Source organism: Homo sapiens, chromosome 15 (assembly GCF_000001405.40).
Source record: "Homo sapiens chromosome 15, GRCh38.p14 Primary Assembly".
Lineage (NCBI taxonomy): Eukaryota > Metazoa > Chordata > Mammalia > Primates > Hominidae > Homo > Homo sapiens.
Window position 1 is genome coordinate 21,366,341 of NC_000015.10, and position 22,960 is coordinate 21,389,300.

Here is a 22,960-nt window from a genome sequence, read left to right on the forward strand (position 1 = left end):
TGATCCTGGTGTCCATGTTGGAATATCATGGCAACTGTCTCCCAGCACTGAACTCGATGACTTCTGCTGCATTCCCAGTGTTAGCTGAGTTGCTTAATTTACTTTCTTCAACGCCATGTGTGAAAGGGAAGCTAGAAAACTGCACTATGTATGGCTTCGTGCACTGAAAATTTGACATTATCAAAGGAGGCATGATCTTGTCTCTCTCCATCCCTCTCCAAATGTTTTCTATAATTATATTCAGAGGCTCATGGGTCTTACCATGGGTGATCAAGGAAGGGCTGGTAACTCTTTCAACCACAGGTAAAATATTACAAACATCTGAAATATGCATTTTTACAGGTGAGAGAAATGAGGCCAGAAAAGTTAAGTGCATCATGTTGAGTACAATTTTATTTGGTGATCAGGCAGCCCTGGGTTCAAATCCTGGCTCTATTGCTACCAATTAAGCCACTTAACTCCATCTGAGCCTCAGGTTGCCCATCTGCATAATAAGCAGTAATAGCAGCTGTCCTGCAGGACTACTGTGAGAATTACAACTCAGGCAATGATCATGATATTTCTTGGCACAGAGGTGTTCACTACCTAGGTAGTGTTATTATTATTAGGCCTAAAGTCACAAAGGGAGTTTTTGAGAACGCTGGAATGAAAACTTGTTCCTCTCAGCTCTGAGCTTATTAGAGCCCACCGTTTTGCATGAATAAAGCAGCCCTGGAGTCTCTCAGGGGAGGGTGTTTGTAACATCTGTTCAGGCACGGTTTCATTTGCTATATACCCAGAGACTAGCACGGTACAAGTTGTGGGGAGATACTCATGTGAGTTGGCGGACTTTGGGTCAAATATTTTCCCTAAACCCAGGTCTCTATGGCATTCTACAGTACACTCTGCATCCTTCTAAGGGACACTGGAAGAGCAAATGGATTGTACAGTGAGTTACAAATAAAATGGCCAATCTCAGCATGAAAGGCTGGGGGTGTTACCTGAATGAGGATGCAGACCACTCCATCTACATACAAGCAAACCTAAGCGACCATGAGCCTGCCGGAAAGAAATCACATGCTATGTAAAGGCTTAGTAACAGTGATGAATATTTGAACTTGAACTCCAGCTCCAGAGCAGTTCAGTGGCCTCTCTTCCAGGAACAGAAGCCAAAGCAGCTCAGGATTCTTGAAGGCTCTGAAAGGTCAATGACAATCCTGGTATATGTCAAGACTTTCCCACCAAAGAAGGGCTCCATGTGTAGAGACTTAGAAAGGATTCCCAACTTCCGCCCCTTCAAAACCAGAAACAAAGGTGGGGGACAGCCCAATTAAGTGGCCCTAGAGATTTGCCCAGGAGCTGGAGCCCTCCGGAGAAGTCCAGTTTTCCTATGCAGGGAGAGGACTGGGAGTTCTCTGGTCACAAGCGTTCTGCCTTTGTTTTCATGAAGCTATGTCTCTTACCTGGTAAGAAAAATGGAACTTCATGCAGCTGCTGAAAACTTTAACCAAAACCCAAAGATGCTGGCACAAAGAAAGGAGGCCTGAAGAAAACAAGTGACCATGGAAACACATTTAGCTCTTAATCTGACCAATTTCTCATGGGCCAGGCCTGGTGCCAGGAATGCTGTGATGAATAAGGCCTGAGCTGAGATTGTGAGGATGAGACGGAGTCCACCCTGTGGGGATCTGGGATGATAGAAGGGCTCCGCAGATAGAGGACCCGGTGGCCAGAAGTTCTGCTGAGTGGAAAAGGGCTCGGAGTAACTGAGGTCAGCTGGATTCCTTAAACATTGCCCAGAGCCCTTGAAGCCATCTAAGGGCACACTTCTGAGGCCTGCTCCGAACCACACTCAACTGGGAATCTTTTAAGGACAGCTGCTCTGTTAGGCTTGCCTGAGATGGTGCAGTTTTCCCCCGCGGCGGCAGAGGCACAGACAGTTAAGAATGCAGGAGCGGGGCCTCACAATGCCTTGGACTAGGGCAAAGGAGGACCCCCGCCTCTCCCCTCCCGGGGCTAAGACATGGGAGGACCCCGACCGGTGGATCCATTGACTCTGGCACCAGAGGATCCCCGCTCTCCAGCGCCCTAGACTGAGGCAACAGAAGACCTCAGACCTGCTCCATCCTGAACTAGAGCACAGTGGGACCCGCGACCTGCCGTGGTCTCAGGCACTGGAGGACACCTGCAACGCCGTGCGCTAGACTATGCTACTGAAGGACCTCTACCGCGGCTCAGCCCTGGACTAAGGCACCGGAGGATCCCCGCCCTGCCCCGCCCCGCGGTGTCCTGGACTGTGCACTGCAGAACCCCCACCCTTCCACACCCTGGACTCTGGCTCCCGAGGACCTTGGCCCCGGCTCGCCCTGAACTACTCCTGCCCCTCAGCGCCCTGGACTGTGGTTCCAGAGGACCTGGTCCTGGGGCAACTTGTGCTACCGCGTGGACTCCAGGACCCCAGTCCTTCCACGCCCTAGACCAAGGCACGGGAGAACCTCTGACTCGCCGCCCCCGACCTAGGGCACCAGAGGACCCACACCTTGCCGTGCCCCGGACTACAGCACGGAAGGACCCCCGATCCGCCGGGCACTGGGCTCCTGCACAGAGGGACCCCCGCCATGGAGGTCTGGACTACCCCTGCCCCACCGCACCCTGGACTACTGCACGCCAAGACCCTCGCCTGAACACGCCCTACACTCTGGCATGGGGGAACCCGGCCCCGCAGAGCCCTGGACTCTGGCATTGGAGGACTCCTCGGCTAGGTTCTGGACTCCTGCACCAGAGGACTCCTGCCCTGCCACACCCTGGACACCTGCACTAGAGAACCCTGCCCCGTCGCCCCCTAGACTATGGCACGGGAGGACCCCTGCCACCGACTTCGGCACGGTAAGACCCCTGACCCGCCTTGCACTGGATTCCAGCACTGGAGGACCCCCTGCCACGGCGCTCTCTGGACTACCCCTGCGCCACCGCGTCCTGCACTACAGCACAGCAGGACCGCCGTCCCACCGCGCACTGGACTGAGGCACAGCAGCACCCGGGCCTCGTGGTTGGTGGACTGCAGGACGAGGTGACCCCCCGCCCCGCTGCGCGTTGGACTATGGCACAGGAGGACCACCATTCCCGCATGCCCTGGACCACTGCAGGACAGGTCCCCCACTCCGCAGCGGCCTGGAATATGGCACTGCAGGACCCCCGCCCTGCTGCTCCACGGACTCCACCACTGAAGACCCTCGCCCCCCTGCACCCTGGACAAAGGCACGGGAGGACCCGGCTTCACCGCCCAGTGGGCTATCACATAGGAAAACCCCCAGCCCACCCCCATCGCGCCAGAGACTCTGACAAGAGAGAACCCCTGCCCCCTGCTCCCCGGACTACAGCAAGGCAGGAACCACCCTCCTCCAGGATCCTCACTATGGCAACTGTGGAACCCCGCCCTGGTACGCCCTGGACTAAGTCACCGAAGGACCCCGACCCCACCACACCGTGAACTCCAGCACTGGAGGACCATTGCCTTACTGCGGACTCAAGCACTGGACTATCGCAGGGCTGGATCCCTGTCCCGCCATGCCCTACACTATGGCACGGGAGGACCCAGCCTCACTGAGCTCTGGACTCCAGCACCGGAGGACACCTACACGGAGGACTCCTGCTCCGCCACGTCCTGGACTCCTGCACAAGAGAACCCCCGCCCCGCGGCACCCTGGATATAGCAAGGCAGGAATCCCGCCCTGCAGTGTTCTGGACTGCGGCACCTGAGAATCCATGCCCCATCGCGCCCTGGACTGCTGCTCCACAGGACTCCTGTTCCACTGCACCCTGGACTATGGCACCAGAGGACCCAGCCCCTCGCATCCTGGACTATGGCACCAGAGGACCCAGCCCCCTGGCGTCTTGGACTAAGGCACAGTAGGACCCCGCAGCATCGTGTACTCCTGCACAGGAGGACCCTCGCAGGGCTGCGTCCTGGACTGAGCTACTGAAGGAGCCTCACCCCTGCCTCACCCTGGTCTAAGGCACTGGAGAACTCTTGCTCCACAGAGCTGCGGACTCTTGCACGAGAGAACCTGCGCCCAGCCGTGCCCTGGACTGTGGCACAGTAGGGCCCACACCGGGCCATGGACTCCTGTACTGGAGGAAGAGTGGTGATAAATGTCCAGGTTTACAAGTTGAAAAGTAGCAGTCAATGTGCTACAATGGATGGATTTGATGTAAAATTACAAATGCTGAAAACATTATGTGTAATTGCCTAGCCAGATCAATTACACAAGACAAAGAAATAAAAGAAATCCATATAGGGAAGGAAGAGGTAAGATTGTTTCTGTTTTCTGAAAATATAATCTTAAGATACAGAAAATCTTTTTTTATTATTAATGTTCTATTTACTTATTTTTATAATATTTTATAAATAAACTTTATTCATATAAAACAGGCCAAACATCTGACATTCAAAAATGGCTACTGTTATAAAATCAGAAACATAGTCAGAGTGTTGGGAATATTGAAATTTCTAAATCTTTATGAATAACACAATCACTTAAGTTATATCCACAAAGAACAGAAAAGAGGCAAGCTTGAAAATATGAGGATAGAAAGATGTCACAGTGATGTGTTTTTAGAAACAGTACCTTCACCTCTAAGCAACTTTCAGGTAGGTGATAGCTAGCTCATAGGCACCAGAAATTCATAACAGAAATTAAATTACCCAAAAGGCACAGAAGAAAATGTTAACACAAGTATAAAAGTAATTTTATGTAAGGTTAAAACCTATTTTTAAAATGCTTCCAAATATGTAAAACTATACACAAGTCCATTACACATTCAGCTTAAGTTTACCATTAAAAAGTGTACACACAATACTGTAACTGTAAATACATGCCACCGTTTATAATGTAGCATTTACCACCACAGCACCCAAAGATATTAACAGAAACCAACTCCCCACTAAAATCTAGGGAAAGGTTTTAGAGCTAGTGAAATAATTTATTGCAGACCGTATTTATTATAAAGAAACTATTGGCTCATTCTACTGTATCCACACTCCCTCACAATCTTAAGGGAGATACAATAAGTCCACTCTCTTCTCCTAAAATGATATTTAGCACATTTGACAAGGAGGAGTGGTTGCTTTATTCCTTTTTCTTATCTTTTTTTCTTTTTCTTTTTTTCTTTCTTTCTTTTTTTTTTTTTTTTAAGAATAAATCACTTTCACAAAACTGAGACTCAAACTTTTTTGAAGCTCAGCTTGATTTGCTGGAACTACACAGAGACATGTTTGATCACACAACAGCAACTGTACATCCTCCCAAGTCTGGAATACGGAATTGATGGAGGACACTTACTTGCTTAAAATGTATTTGATTATTCTGCATTTATGATAAAAATATCATCCAGGGATCATATTCAAGAGGGTAAATTTAGGATTACATGTTTCTAGAACATATAATATGTAATGCCATCCAAAACCAACAACAAACAACATAGAGCACTGAAACCGAAGAGCCACTTAAAATTTAGAATTAGGAAATTTCAATCTATAATTGTCAAACAATAAGTGAGTTATAATATTTTTCTAATTAGAAAAATATCACCTAAAGTGGAAAGCCAGCATTTAGTTGGGGACTATGAGATACTACATCCTTGGTCTGGCTGGCCACCATTTTAAAGACCACCACAGATCTCAAGGCATGAGACCTCTCACCAACAAAATCTATCCCTGCTATTGCACCTAGTGCCATCTCAATATGTGGCAGACAGCAAATGTTCTAACTTAATCTGATAGATGCTCCTTTAGCATATAAAAGAGCTTGCTAAGTCCCTATTACCTGTAGCAGTCTATCAACTAAATATTTAAGAAGTCATTTCATAGGCAAGGTTTATGAATGACTTAGAAGTAAAATTAGTAATTTCTAAATCACTGTAGTGTTTTCTATGTTTTTAGAGATATTCCTAACACAGAGTTTTCCGAGGAGCTGTGAAAACAAGTACAAACGTACATAAGTAATTTTGTCAGGGATGTTTCTGTACTAATTTGGGGGAGACTTGTGGGCCATAAATAAATGAGATACACATCCTAAAAATAATGGTAAAAATTATCAAGTACCACTTTCAGATGGTTACTCAAGTATCAACTTGGTATGCAAGTAAGTTCACCGATTTCTTCACCTATGATTTCATACTCAAAGTGCTACATCTTACTTAGGTACTGATAACATTTAGAAACCTTTATAATCAGCCTCTTAAAGAAAATCCAGCCTTTTCAGATGGTAAACTTGTCTTTACTAACTTTAATGCCCGTAACTATTTCGATATAACCAAACAAAAATTTTTAAAAATATATTCCTTACAGCTCCTGATTAACTTATTTTCTGATACATTCTGAGGCTAGTAACAAAATTTAGACCAGAATAGGTTTTCATATATCAAAAAAAGGAAAGGAACACGGAGAGCACAGATGAGATGTATGGAGGCTCTATACTATAGACCCATCCTTGCTCTGTGCGGGAATCATCACAGGAATCGCGCCCATTCGACTTAGATTAGGGGCAGCTACCTTAGCAGGTGGGAGAGTCGGACTCTGAGGAGTGCGTTCAAAGTCTTCACTTGGTACTTGTTTATACTGAGTCTTGGAATATCCTTCCATGTTGGAAGGAGATATGGATCCCAGGGATGAATGATTACTGCCTATGTAGCTTCTGGCAGTGGACGTGTGGCTCTTTGGAGGCGGCACATCTTCCTTGATATCGTGATGAACTTCCTTTTCATATTTTTCTTCTCTGCGCTTTTTACGACAGCAAAAGATGATAAGACCAATGAGCACTAGAGCAAGCAAAGTTCCTATAATGGCTCCTGCAATTAGTCCAGCTTTATTTGAAGGAGGGACAACGTTTACACGCAACAGGCACTGATCAGAGCCCACTCTGTTTCTGATGTACAGCTGTATGTCCCAGAGTACTCAGAAGAAGCATTTTTACAGATATAACAGATGAAGTCATTTCTGCTAACCATGAAGTGGGCATTTTCTGTGAGTCAGACAATTTTTGCCACTCATACTGTAATGGAAGTGAACCTTCTTTTGGTTCACATTTTAATTTAAAGTCACTTCCAATTTCTTCTGATCCATCAACGTAACATCTTGTACCTGAAGGCTTACCAAGAACTACCAGCTGAATCTTCCTATTTGCAACACCAGGAGCTCTTTTCACTTTGCACTGATCTGTGCCAATATCTGACAGCTGAAAATTCGTTACATTTATTGATGCATCACCAGATTTGAGATCATTACTCTTAAAATGTACTCGGCCTTTCAGATCTGGATAGTAGTCATCATAATTTTTGTCTCCAGAATATAAAATAATCACTTGATCCACCTTCTGATTATCAGCTGGTGATATCAGCCACTCGATGTCCAGTGGTCCCTGGTCTTCAGGACTAAGCGTAAATTTGCATGGCAGATAGGCAGTTTCCCCTTTGGCTTTTTCAATCATCTGCTCAGGAGTAGTGATACTCCAACCTCTGATGAAATCCGCGACTCTGCACAGGAGCACGAAGCGCAGCAGGAGCGCCACGGTGGCTGCCGTGCCGTGGGCGGCGGCTGCAGGTAGGCGGCTCTCGCTCCAGGTCCTAGGCTCCCCGCGCCTGGCGCACTCAAGGTAGAGAAAATCTTAAAGACTCCACCACAATAAACGGTTAAAGCTGATAAAGAAATTCAATAAAGTTAATAGTTACAAAATCATACAGATAGCATTATTGTTTCTATACATTAATGACAAACTATTACCTGAAAAATAAATTAATGAGGCAATTCAATTTATAATAGAATCAAAACAGATATAAAAATATGTAAAAGACTTAGGAGTAAATTTAATCAAGAATGTGAAAGATTTGCACACTGAAAACTATAGCACATTGATGAAAAAAGTTAAAATGGCATAAATAAATGGAGAAACATCCTTTATTGATTGATTCAAAAATTAGTATTGTAAAAGTGTCAATGCTACCCAAAGCAATCTACAGATTAAATGCAACCACTATCAAATTCCCAGAAATAGAAAAATTACTGCTAAAATTTGTATGAAACCACAAAAGACCCTGACTAACCAAAGCAATCTTGAACAAAAAGAATAAAGCTGGAGGCATCAGACTACCCGATTCCAAACTATATTACAAAGCTATAGTAATTAAAACAACATAGCAGTGGCATAAAAACAGACATGTAGAACAGTGCAAAGGGATATAGAACCCGTAAATAAATCCGTATGTCTGTGGTCAATTGACTTTTTGATAAAATAACTAAAAATACACAATGAAGAAAGAAAATTATTTTCAATAAATGGTGTAGAAAAAACTGACTATCCACATACAGAAGAATAAAATTTGACTTTTCTTTTGCTCTTTATACAAGCATGAAATCAAAATTAAAGACTTAAATGTAAAACTACTACAAGGAAATATAGAAGAAGACTGTATGACATTGGCCTGAGCTATGATTTTCTGTAGATTATTCCAAAAGCACAGGCAACAAAAGCAAAAACACATGAATGAGATTGCATAAAACTAAAAAGCTTTTCCACAGGAAAAGAAGTGATAATAGAATGAAGAGAACCCACAAATGGGATAACATTTTTAAACCATACATCAGATAAGGGGCTCATATAATAATATATAAGTAACTCAACCTACTCAAACATAAGAATAAAACTATGCTTATTAAAAAAAATAAGCAAAGAACCAGAATAGACATTTCGTAAGGCATACAAAAGGCCAACAGGTACATGAAAAAATCATAAACATTTCTAATTATCAGAGAAATGCAAATCAAAGCCACAATGAGATATCACCTCACACATTTTACTAGGGCTATTATAAAAAAAGATGGAAGATAAGTGTTGATGAGGATGTGGAGAAAAAGAAACCCTGTGCACTGTTGGTAAGAATGGAAATTAGCACAGCCATCTTGGAAAACAGTATGAAGCTTCCTCAAGAAATTATAAATATATTTACCCTATGATCCATCAATCCCACTTCTGGATACGTGTCCAAAGGAATTTTAATCAGTATGTCAAAAACAGACATCTGCAATTTCATGTTCATTGCAGCATTATTCATAATACCCATGAATTAGAAACAACCTAAGTGCTTATCAACTGAAGACTAGATAAAAATATGTGGAAAAATTGGAACCCTTCTACACCACTGGTGAGACTTTAAAATGTAAAGCAGTCTCGCAGTTCTTCAAATGGTTAAACATAGAGTTATCACGTGACCCAGCAATTCCACTCCTATGTGTTTACCAAAAAGAAAATAAAACAAATGCTACACAAACAGTAGTACACAAATGTTTATAGCAACACAAAGTAGAAAACAACAGAAATGTTCATCAGCTGAGGAGTGGATAAATAAAATGTGGTGTGTCCATAAAATAGAATCTTATTTAGCAAGAAAAGGTAAAAAACTGTTAATGCATGCTCCAAAATGGATGAACATTAAAAATATGTTAGGTGAAAGATGTGAGTAAAAAGTGACTATGTGTTATTATAATTCCATTTATGTGAAATGTCCAGAATAGGCAAATTCATAGTCAGAAAGTAGACGAGTGGTTGCCTAGACTAGGAGGGGTTTAAAAAAGACTGGAGAAAATGGGGAAAGATTGCTAATGGGCGCAAGTCTCTTTTAAGGAAAATAAAATGTTCTAAAATTATATTATGATGATTATTTGTCCATCCAGTTAATATACTAAAAGAATTTGAAGTTTGTACTTTAAATGAGTGAATTACACAATGTATAAATTATATCTCAATAAAGCTGTGGAAAGTTAAAAGTATATGTAGGATGCATACAAAAATACTACTTATCTTTATAAATGAATGAAAATCTGTCATTTGCAAAAACATGGATGAATTTAGAGGACATTATGCTAAGTAAAATAAGCCAGACACAGAAAGACAAATATCTCATGGTATCACTTATATGTGAAATCCAAAACTGTGCACTCATAGAAGTTAAGAATAGAATGGTGGTTTATCAGAGGCTGAGCAGAGTGGGGGGCAGGGGTGGAAAAAGGGGAAATATTGAATGGGATAATGCTTCAGTTAGGAGAAAGACATTCTGGTGATATGGTGCACAGCAAAGTGACTGCAGTTACTCATAATGTAGTGCATATCTTAAAAGTGCTAAAATAGTACATTTTAAATGTTTCACCATAATGTAATACATATCTGAGGTGAAGGATACGTTATTTAGCCTAATTAGACCATTTCACAATATCTACATGTATCGTACCACATTGTACCCTATATATATTTATTTATCAATAAAATCAACATTTTAAAAAGTGAGGAACACAGATGTGCTAGATCTTCATCTAAAGACATTTCTGAGAAAAGTGTATCTGTTTTCCTTCAGAAGAAATTTACACTTAATAGATATTATGGTAACTAATGTAAGGCAGATAATTTTGGCCATCAGCTTTTATTGTGGGATAATCTCTTTTTGCTGACCTTGTAAAAGCTGTGGCATATTAACAAGTAGGAACATTTTTTTTTATCATGATCAGGTAAAGATTCTGCAAGTTTCTATTTTGAATATTTCCCCAGGAATCACAAAGTGTGAATGCCTTTTATTTCAGAGGTCTAGCCCTAAATGGTTTAGTCAATTACATCATGCATTCTGAAATAAGTACTGGTGCATTTGGGAAGGTACTATATATAATTGTGTTTTAAATTTAACTATCATATAAATCTACTTTTCTAGTTAACAGTTTATATTTTATAGAGGCCCTCCATATACATAAGAGCTTTTCTGATAGTATATCCATTAGATTTCAAAGATAAGTAAAGGAACAATTTTGCTTTTATTTATTATTATTATTATTTTTTAAGGCTAGTCAAGTGAAGCAGTGGGAGTGGAGAAGGAACTGCTTTAATTTTTATATGTTGGTGTTACAGGCTATATGTGACAGGCTGTATATTTTTCTGCTGAATTTTAGAAACAAAATGAAATATTTATTTCCTATTTCATTAGATTTAGGGATGATGATTACATTGAGGGGTTGGGACTAGACTGAAGGCACCACATCATCAATCACTTGGAAACAATATTTTGCCTATGTGTTATGTTATATTGACAAAAACTTTTATTGTGGCAGGCAATATAGCTCCCTATTGAAATATGTGAAAAATGTAGAGAAAAAAGGACAATATTAGTTATCAAGGGATATTTAGGCCTGAGATGCATGATGCTAATATTCAAAACATACACTTTTTAAAAATTAGATTTAAAATGTAAATTGAAGCAGAACATTTAGAAAAAGACATAATATCTACTATAAAAGTCCTGGGTTAGAAAAGTTAAAATGCTAAATGAAAAAATAATGCTTCTTGGGTGGCTTAAAATCGAATATGAGACAAAAGATTACTCAGAAATTTTTCTAAGATTAAAAACGTGTATACAGTTTCTTTGATATAAAATGAAATAAATGTCTGGATATAACTTTAACAGAATAGAATAGGGAGACAAGGGCAACGAGCAGGTGTATGTAGAATAAAGTGAACATATTATTGTAATAATGAGAGGGACAGAGTTGAATGATTGCTCTTGGAGACAAGGGATTTTGATGTCTAAGTTAATGACAAATCTTTTGTATGCAAGTTTAAAAATGTAACTTAAACCTGGTGAAGGAATAAAGGGTGGTTGGAGGGATGATTCTTTGTACACTAAACTTATTTTAATGACTAATGAATTAATCATAAGTTCAAATGATTTTATGGAGGCCCTTTCTTTATTTGATATTTCTGGACTCCTTTTTTCTTTGTGTGTGCTCCATTTTTACCTACTTGAACAATTTTTACCCCCAAAGTTTAGGAAACACTGTAACCAAATGTTCCAACATGATATAATCCCTGAAGGCATTTGCAGCTGGGGGAGTAGGGGAAAAGGGGTTTCTCTTTCAACAAATGCATGTTAACCTCGGTGAAAACTCAGAAGTTTAAACATGGTCCCCCTTGGGTCATGTGGCTACCCCAGGACCAATCATTGCACCAGACATAGGAGATAATCTCAAAAGCCAGGTTGGAGTCAAGGTTCTCCAGTGGAATTTCCACTTTAGAAATCAGTTTTGTCAGGCTTTGTGTTTGCATATTACAGACATGATAGCCATATAGCTATCTATTCCAGTAGAGATGAAAACCTAAGAGCATATGCCCATTCAAAGGATTTTACATGAATCTTCATAGCAGCTTTACTTGCAACAGCCAAAACCTGAAAATAGTCCAAATATCCATGGACAGGTGAATTTGTGACTTATAAACTTACTATGGTATCTGTATATAATGAAATAATACTCCCTAGTAAGAACAGAACAATTGATAGATGTAGCAACATGAATAAATCTCAAAAATAGTGATGCTGAGTGATCAGAAAGTATACATACCCTATGATTTTATGTATTTGGAAATAAAAACTCACGGATAGTGACTAGAAGTGGATCAGTGGTTGCCTGTGGATGGAATGGGGATAGGCAGGAAAAAGTGAGTAGAAAAAGCACAAGGAAACTTTGGTGGTAAAGGTAATGGATATGTTTGCTATTTTCATATGTTGTTGGTTTTGTAGAGCTACAAATGCCAAGAATTATCAAAATGTACAATTGAAGTATGTGCAGTTTATTGCATGTAAATAAACTTTTTAAAAATTAACCGATACAAATTGACTTACATGACCAGAAAGCTCTTGAAAAACTCTCCTGTTTTCTCCCCTATTTTTATTCTTGCATGCCCTTATAGCCTGTGTTAACACATTTCTCATCTTACCGTTATTTTGTGTCTACATTTCACCAAGTCAATATAACTATCACCATAATTTCTTGGTTTCTCTTTAGTTCATTAGTAATTATGAGTAATGTATTGAAATGTTAAAGATATGTTCATGCATTCAGAATGCTCTGCTCTCTGATCCACATAATAGTGAATTATGCTCTCAATAATTACACAGTATAGTAATTTTTTTTTTTTTTTTTTTTTTTTTTTTTTTGAGACGGAGTCACACTTGGTTACCCAGGCTGAAGTGCAATGGTGCATTCTGGGCTCACTGCAACCTCCACCTCACGGGTTCAAGTGATTTTCCTGCCTCAGCCTCCTGAGTAGCTGGGATTACAGGCATCTGCCTTCATCCCCGGCTAATTTTTGTATTTTTATTGGAGACAGGGTTTCACCATGTTGGCCAGGCTGGTCTTGAACCTCTGACCTCAGGTGACCTGCCTGTCTTGGCCTCCCAAAGTGCTGGGATTATAGGCATGAGCCACCACCCCTGGCCAGAATATTGCTACTTTTGCAAATAGCTACAATTGACCCTGATCTGGACTTTGAGTTGATCACAGCTTTGTAAAAGAGGATAGCATTGTAAAACTGCAAAATTAGATTAATAATAACATAGAATGCTTTCAGTATAAGAAATAATACTATCCTAAGCAAAAATAAATAAATAAATAAAACTGGAGGAATTATATTATCTAACTTCATATTATACTACAGAATTACAGTAACCAAAAGAGTAGGGTACTGACATAAAAAGAGGCCCATAGATCAATGAAACACAATAGAGAACCCAGTAACAAATCTACATACCTACAGTGAACTCATTTTTGACAAAGGTGCCAAGAACATACACTGGTGGGAAATGGTGTTGAAAAAACTGGATATCCATATGCAGAAGAATGAAAACAGACTAGTATCTATCACTGAATACAAAAGTAAAATCAAAGTTGATTAAAGATGTAAAGCTAAGACCTCAAACTATAAAACTAGCACAAAAAAACTTTGGGGGAAATCTCCAGGATATTGGTCTGGGCAAAAATATCTTGAGCAATACCCCACAAGCACAGGCAACCAAAGCAAAAATGGACAAATGGATCACATTAAGTTAAAAGCTTCTGCACGGAAAATGATACAAGCAACAAAGTTAAGAGATAATCCACAGAATGAGAGAAAATATTTGCAAACTACTCATCCAACAAAGGATTAATAATCAGAATATATAAAAAGCTCAAACAACTCTTTAAGAAACAATCTAATAACCTGGTTAAAAAAAAGGGGGCAAAAGATTCGAATAGATATTTCTCAAAAGAAGACCTACAAATGGCAAACAGGTATAAGAAAAGGTGCTCAATATCACTGATCATCAGAGAAATGCAAATCAAAACTACAATGAGATATCATCTCACCACAGTTTATAAGACTTGTATGCAAAAGACAGGCAGTAACAAATGCTAGCAGGGAAGCAGAGAAAACGGAACACTTGTACATTGCTCCTGGGAATGTAAATTAATAAAACCACCAAGGTGAACAGTTTGGATGTTTCTCAATAAACTAAAAGTTGAGCTAGCATATGATCTAGCAATCCTACTGCTGGGTCTATACCAAAAATAAAGGAAATCAGTATGTCAAATACATATCTGCACTCCCATATTTGTTGCAGCACTGTTTACAAAACTAAGATTTGGAAGAAACCTTAGTGTCCATCAACAGATGAATGGATAAAGAAAATGTGGTACATATACACAATGGAGGACTATTCAGCTGTAACAAAGAACAAGATCCAGTCATTGTCAGTAACACTGATGGAACATTATGGATCATTATATTAAGTGAAATAAGCCAGGCGCAGAAAGACAAATGTTACATGTTCTTACTTATTTGTGGGATCTAAAATCAAAACAAACTCATGGACATAGAGAGTATAAGGATGGTTATCAGAGGCTGGGAAAGGTAGTTGGGGGGGGGATTTTGTGGGAAGGTGGGGATGGTTAATGGGTATAAAAATAGAGAGTTAATAAGACCTACTATTTTATAGCACAATAGGGTGACTATATCCAATAATAATTTCGTTGTACATTTTGAAATAACTAAGACTGTAATTGAATTTTTTATAACTTGAAGGATAAATGCTTGAGGGGAGGGATACCCCATTCCCCAAGATGTGCTTATTTCACCTTGCATGCCTGTATCAAAACATCTCAGGGACCCCACAGATACATACACATACTATGTACCCACAACATTTTTAAACAATCTAATACAATTTTTTAAATGGCTCTTATTTTTTGTTAACTTCAATTATTGTAAAATATATTCTATTATTTATGATTTGCCTTGTTTGAAAACAAATTTTAAAAACACTATTTAAGACCAGATAAATGGACTAGGAGTAACTTGCATAAAAATGACAGAAATTGCTGCTACTTCTTCTAATTATTGAGATGGTATTTCTATATTTGTGAAATTATCTGATAGAAAATTGAATTGTTTCCAACATTATTTTTCATAATTAAACATGTTATATTGCTACTTCTTTAAAAGTAGCCTTTAAAATATTACCAATCTATTTTAAAGTCTACTTGCCAAAACATTAAACTATTCTTAAAAAAAGTAATTTATTTAATTACCTAACATCCTCAAGCAATGTCCTAATTTTCTCAAGCAATTATCTGATTTTCTCAAGCAATTGATATTAGCAAGTTGTGCTAGCTAACTGCTGAGAATCATTGTCTACATATGAGATAAATCATCTATCAATCCTTTAAAGAAGACTTTATGAGCCATAGAGATTGTAGTCCAATCTGTATCACTGACTTTAAACATTGGATAATTGACACTCCGTGTTGTCTGTAAGCCTATTTCACAGCAGCTGAGTGATGTTAGTAGGTACCTCTTGGAGTGCCATTTTCCTTGTAACCCTTAGATTAATTCAGATTGACTGAGTTCTGTGTCAGTGGAAATTGCCAGAATTATATCATGCTGCTTTGCATCTAGTTTCACTTTTCCAAAAGCCTACACAGATTTCAGATGTTTAGAAAATAGCTCTTGTTTTCCTTCTGGGTAATCTTTTTCATGTCACCACTCTTGTCAGCATCTGCATTGGGCAAATTTCCTAGGACCTCCCTTCTGCGTCTTTTAAAATATGAAAACAAAATCAATGTAGCGCAGCAAGCCAGGGAAAGTCTGCTTTGATTGACTTACGGCCATAGTCACCCAGCAGTTCCTTCAGATGTGGCTTCCCAGGTCAGCCACTGAGCCCACCGCTGTCCTCCTGCCTGCAGAAGTGGCTCTGTGAGCCGTTTGAGGAGAAAATGGGGGACTTTGGGCTTCAGCCCGAGGAGAACACGGTGGAGATGGAGGAGCCCCTGGGCGTCCGCAGGTTAACTGAAAACATGAGAGGACACAAGCACGGGACCAAGTCTGTCACTAACCTGTAAAGTACTCTCACCAAGCCGACCGGGCACTTTGTCTGAGCGCCTGCCTTTGCCACCACTGTGTGCAGGAATGCCTGGGTCATGACTGGGCCATCCCAGTGTTCTTATTTCTATACATTCCGAGGTTACCCCTCAGCAAAACGCCAGAGGCTGGCAGACACAGCGGAGCATCCTGCAGTAGGGATCCGAAGCCGTGGAATCTCCAAAGGACCACTTGACCGCGTCCCAGAAGCTCCAGCTCAGGCTGGACATTGCCCAGAAAGCCCACATCGTCTTTGGCAAGACCTCCCGGATTGTGGTTTTGATTTGCATTTCTCTGATGGCCAGTGATGATGAACATTTTTTCATGTGTCTGTTGGCTGCATAAATGTCTTCTTTTGAGAAGTGTCTGTTCATATCCTTCGCCCACTTTTTGATGGGATTGTTTGATTTTTTCTGGTACATTTTTTTAAGTTCTTTGTAGATTCTGGATATTAGCCCTTTGTCAGATGGGTAGATTGCAAAATTTTTCTGCCATTCTGTAAGTTGCCTGTTCACTCTGATGGTAGTTTCTTTTGCTGTGCAGAAGGTCTTTAGTTTAGTTAGATCCCATTTGTCAATTTTGGCTTTTGTTGCCATTGTTTTTGGTGATTTAGACATGAAGTCCTTGCCCATGCCTATGTCCTGAATGGTATTGCCTAGGTTTTCTTCTAGGGTTTTTATGGTTTTAGGTCTAACATTTAAGTCTTTAATCCATCTTGAAAAGTTAATAATAATAAAAATAATAATATGGAAGAAATTTAAAAAAAACCTCCCAGAGACCAGGAACTTGGGGCGCGCGGCCTGAGATCACCCCAAGCTCTGGGTGCCTTCCTGTCCTTCTGCTTCTTCCTTGGCCGCTTTAGGGGGCGCGCCTTGCCATGCGTCTCCCTGCGGGCGGCGCGGTGGTGCTCCTGGATGTCACCTCCAGGCGCTTTTGAGACTGCGACCGGCACCGGGCACCAGGCACCTGCGGATTGGCCTCCCCACGCCGGGTTCAGGGACCTCCAGCGCTCCGCGGTGCAGGCTGCAGGCGACCTCAACGTGGAGCTGCTGCCAGCGCCACAGGCCCCAGGGGAGGCCCAGGATGCTGCTTCCCCGCCCCAAGAAGGGCAGTTTGGAGGAAAGTCTTTGGCCTGATGGAAGGCGGCGCCCATCGGGGGCGGGGCTGAGAACTAGGCCGGCGCCGCTGCCTGGTAAGCGGGGACCAAGAGGCCCACGGCCTCCATCAGGAACCAGGTGCTTCTCCAAATCCCGGACGTCCAGGAGGAACAACGGCGTCAAGCTGGCTGACACCAGGAACACCCAGAAGTCCCCGCTCCTGTCTGTCCTTCCGCACTCAGGAGCGGGGATGGCCACAGGGACACCATCTGCCCACAAACCGCTGGCGTTTGCTGCCATGGTGCGCGGAGATGCGGTCCCCGAGGAGGCCACTTTCGGCCAGGACGCCGGGATCGTATCAGCAGCAGCATCCCGCGCTGACACTCAGTATTGACTTTTCCCGGACATTGCTGGATTTTTTCCTTTTTAAAACAATTTTGCAGTGGGAGAACAAAAAAGGGCATCCTCAGAGCTTTTACAAAATTCTCCTGGACCTGTTGTTCTATGGTGTTCACCTCTGCGTTTTACGGACCACTAATGGGCCAGAGCTCCTAAGGCCTATAAGGGCCCCACCCAGCGCTTTAGACACCCCTGAGGGACACTCGCGGCTCAGGAGGATAAATGTTCTCAGGGGCGTGCTGTGAGGAGGACATGCAGCCCCTCAGCCACCACATCTTCCTCCATTCCAGCCTGGAAAGAGAGACCTTGCCCTCCACCTTACAGGCCTTCCTGACCTTGGGACCCACTCTAGAGGCCACGCGCATTTCCACTGCCAAAGCAATGACACAGGAGATGGAAAGAAATTCTTGGCCAGGCGCGGTGGCTCACGCCTGTAGTCCCAGCACTTTGGGAGGCCAAGGCGGGCAGATCACGAGGTCAGGAGATCGAGACCATCCTGGCTAGCAAGGTGAAACCCCGTCTGTATTAAAAACACCCAAAAGGTGGCCGGGCTTGGTGGCGGGCTCCTGTAGTCCCAGCTACTCGGGAGGCTGAGGCGGGAGAGTGGCGTGAACCCGGGAGGCGGAGCTTACAGTGAGCCGAGATTGCACCACTGCAGTCCAGCCTGGGGGACAGAGCGAGACTACGCCTCAGGAAAAAAAAAAATTATTTTGCCTTCACTATATGCCTAAGTAATTTCTCTATTAGAGCCCAGAGTCGTGGGGCCCACACCGCCAGCTGACACATGAAAGTGTGGCAACGATGTGGTGGTGTCTCTGTGTGGCAGCGTGGTGGTGTGTCTGTGTGGTGGTGTGTCCGCATTTCTGTGTGGTGGTGTGTCCGTGTGGCAGAGTGTCTGTGTGGTGCTATGTCCATGTGGTGGTGTGTTCATGTATCTGCATGGTGATGTCTCCGTGTGACAGTGTGTTTGTGTATCCGTGTGACAGTGTCTGTGTGTCCTTGTTTCCACATGGCAGTGTCTGTGTGGTGGTGTCTGACAGTGTGGAGGTGTGTCCATGTGACAGTGAGGCGGTGTGTGTGTGTGTGGCAGTGTCCATGTGGCAGTGTGTTTTTGTGTTCGTGTGAGTGTGATGGTGTGTCCATGTGACAGTGTAGTGATGTCTCTTGTGTGTGTCCCTGTGATAGTGTGGTGGTGTGTCCATGTGGTGACGTCTCCGTGTGTCTGTGTGTCCCTGTGATAGTGTGGTGGTGTGTCCGTGTGGATTTCTCCGTATGTCTGTGTGTCCGTCCATGTGAATGTGCCAGTGTGTCCATGTGACGGTGTGTCCGTGTGGTAATGTCTCCGTGTGTCTGTACATGTGACAGTGTGGTGGTGTGTGCGTGTAACAATGTGGCGGTGTTCCCTTCCCGGCTTGCGGAGCTGGCGTCTTTCCCTCTCAGCCCAGGATGCCCCAGGAGACCCCCAGCTTGGAGGGCAGGAGGTGGCTTCTGTGGAGGGAGGCGCAGGGAGCCCCAACAGCCGAGTTTTGGGGTCCCCTGCATTGGGTGGGAGTGAGGAGAAAGGTGCCCGGGCAGCCAGGACAAGCCTGGGCCTGCCCTAAGGAGGTGACCCACTCCGGGCCTGCATTTTGGGGCGAGCACTCCAGCTCGGTCATCTTGTCCTAAGTCCTTTGTGTGCCGTGGAGATTGCTGAGTTTTGAAGAAGGGAAGGTCATCTTTGTCGCGGAAAGCCTGATGTGTTTCTCTATTGCTGTCACTTTTCAGCCTCATGGCTGGCGAAACATCAAACATTGGGCACCTTCTGCCAAGAAAACTCCCGGAAGAAAATGTGGGGACTGGCAGTATCCAACCAGAGGAGTCACACACAGATTTCTGTTTGGTTGGAGATCGGCCGTTTTTCCCTGTGGGTGGGGGAAGCGCAGCAGCTCTGCAGCGGGAAGGAAGGGGGGTTCTGTGTGGCCAGGAAGGTCCTGGCCCGGGGCGGAGGGGCCAGAGGTGATGTGCGGCGAAAGGCTGTGCAGGGCAGCAGGCAGTGTGCATCGCCCCTACTGCCGGGCGCCCAGGAGGAGGACAGGTCCCGGCCTGGCAGGAGCAGAGGCGATGCGGCTGGAGTCCCCGCACCAGGCTTGAGGGCCGGCGGAGCCGCAGGCTGTGGCGGAGGGGGACTCCCGGGCACCTGGTGGGTGTCCCCATGACCAGGATGCACACCGGGCTCCGGAGGCCAGGCGGACCAAGCTAGGGGTGCCAGGGGAGGCTCGAGGTTCCCTCGGTGGGAGGTGGGTCCCTGGACCCTGGTCTCCTGCTGCTGTCCCCCCTTCGCTCAGGGGCACCCCGCCAGGGTCGCCTATCTGGGACCTCAGCGCAGCTCCTAGTGGGCGGGAGGCTGAGGCAGAGGCCTCCGGGCCCAGCTGGGTCTGCAGTTTCCACCACTCGTGATGCAGGGCGAGCTCAAGCTGTGCCACCCAGGCAGGAAACCCTCCGACCTTGCCAGCTTTGGCGCCAGCCTTGGTGACTCTCTCCAGCTCAGCTTCAACACCTTTCAACAGTTCTGTGTTCTCTATTATCACAAGAATTCTTTCTGTATTTTCTATCCTTTATCAAATAGGAATTTAAATATGCATATGGAGTGATTATCACAGTTGAAACATTAAACAATATACAATTTCATGTGTCTTTTTTGTTTAATGTATAATTTTCTAAGAAGTAAAATTATGACTCTACTGCAAATATAAGATAAACACATATCAACAATGTTTTTCAACTCAATAAGCGATGAGGGTTCCAGTAACAGGTTCAAATCATTGCAAGGAACATTAAAGGAGCTTTACAGCCAATGTTAACGTCAGATCGCTGGGTACTTACAGTACTGGTTAGTATCCAACATAGCCAGAAGCTGTCATCTTTGTGAGTTCTCTCTTCCATGGCACAGAAATGATGCGTTTTTCTACTGTACAAAATATTTATCTTTTCTACTACTTCTGCACATAAAAATATTGCTAGTCAGAAAAGACCAGAATTGCACTGAAAGAAAATCTCAGTAATATCTCTCACCTGTATTCTTACTTTTTCTTCCTTTATGAAATATCTTTCAACTGCATTTTCTATCTGAAAGTTTATAGAGAGATGAAAATGAATAAAAGCATAGTAAGTGAATATTTTGATAACATTTTGCAGCTTTATTCATGTCTAACGAACATAAAACACACTTCCAATATTTAAAGTGTAAATGAGATGAATTTGATATGTACATGTGCCCATTAATCACCATGAAGGGGACAATGAGCATATCCAATACTCTCAAAGCTTCCCAGTTCTCTTTTGTAATGCACACTCATACCTCTCAGGTGTGAAGTATTGAGCTTCACACACACACACACACACACACACACACACACACACACACACAAATATATACTGGGATATCTAATTGTTTCAGAAGCATTTGTTGAAAATGTTATGTCCATGAATGGTCTAAGAACTTTATCAAAAATTAGCTGATAGATGATATACATGTGTATATCTATATTTGTACTACATTGTCTTAAGTATTACTGTAATGTTATAAGTCTTGAATCCAGGTGCTGTTAATTCTCCAGCAGCACCTGGTTTCAAAGTAACTGTTTCCTTTCAAAGTAATTTGCCATTATAGGTCCTCTACCCATCGATGTACATTTCAGAATTTTAGTTTCTCAATTTCTAAAATAAGAAATCCAGCTGTGATTTGATTGGAATTGTTATAGATCAATGTGGAAAGAGTAGACATCTTAACAATATTGAGATTTATGACTCATAAATTCCATTTATTTAGGTCTCGTTTATTTTAGCAATATTTTGTAGTTTTGTAGTTTTCAAATGTTTCTCTTTTTTGCTGGTTTATCTCTAAGTACTACATATTTTGATATTTACAATAATATCAAAATTATGGTAATATTAATGCAAATGTTGTTTTTTTTTTCCTCCATTAATTGTCAGGTAGTTTTAAATCATAATTTAATTGTATGATAAAACTGAATTTTGCGAGAAATGTATACATATTGTATATATACTTTTTTTCAGTTTGGCAGATTGACTGCATTATCATATCATAATTTAAAATTGCACTAATTACCACTCAGCCTCCTCTCAAGGACAATATATCAAAATATATAGCATGTTTCAGTTTACTTAGCATCATGAAACTCTCATATTGCACTTACTTTTGGAAACCTGGAATAATAAAATAATGTAAATGTCAGTTCACAGGCGACATATGAGTACATGCGACAATTTTCTAAATATCGACCTATCGCTCTTTAATTCTATGTTAATATTGTCAATTTTTTCCTCCTCTTGCAACTCTCTTATGCAGCTTATTGACTTTTGGTTCAATTCCTTCCCTGTTTTCCCCCCAATCTACTTTCTAATATTTTACTGATGTTGTGCTCCTTTTTATTTGGACACTTTTAAAAAGCTGTGTAATTTCTCCTTTGTATTAAAATGCAAATCCATATCCAAAATAAATGAGCGGAGGGACCAAAAAGATGTTTGTGCAGCGTGTCCATTAGCAATATTATTCACAATAATCAAAGGGAGGGAGCAGCCCATGTGAATATTGATGGATGAGTGGTTAAACAAAATGTGGTATATACGGCAACATAATAATATTCAGCCTTAAAATATATTCTCACACATGTTACAAAATAGATGAAACTTGAAGACATGCTAAGTGAAATAAGCCAGTCAGAAAAATTCAAACATTCTATCATGCCACTTCTATGAGTTACTTAGTGAAATTTGTAGAGACAGAAAGTAGAATGGTGATTGCTAGGGGGAAGGAGAGGGAGAGGAATGGGAAGTTGGTGTTCAATGAGTAAAGCATTTTAGTTGGAGAAGAAGACAAGTTTTGGAGGTCTATGGTGGTGACTGTTGCACAATAGTGCAAATATACTTAATGCCACAAAACTGTGCACTTAAAGTGATTAAAAAGGTAAATTTTATGTTGTGTATATCTTTCCAGAATTATAAACCTGCCATCACAGTATAGAAATAGAATATATTATATAGCGTTAGGTGATGATATTTTACACATTTGCACATAATTAGAATTTCAAAGCCTTAATTTCAGATACGGTAGTCTAAGACATAACAATATTGATGTAAGAAAGCCGTAAGAAATGTTTATTTTCAATCAGATTTACTAAAAAAATTTATTGAACTGGTCAATTTTCTTTGCCAATATTA

The 22,960-nt window shown here is 42.1% G+C and overlaps 2 pseudogenes across 1 annotated transcript; one reads left to right on the forward strand and one right to left on the reverse strand.

Annotated features, from left to right (window-relative positions):
• Positions 1 to 5,152: 5,152 nt before the first annotated feature.
• CXADRP2 (CXADR pseudogene 2) lies at positions 5,153 to 7,628 on the reverse strand (annotated as a pseudogene). The gene has a single exon (NR_024387.1). The product of NR_024387.1 is annotated as a CXADR pseudogene 2 (transcript).
• Positions 16,043 to 17,726, forward strand: GRAMD4P6 (GRAM domain containing 4 pseudogene 6; annotated as a pseudogene).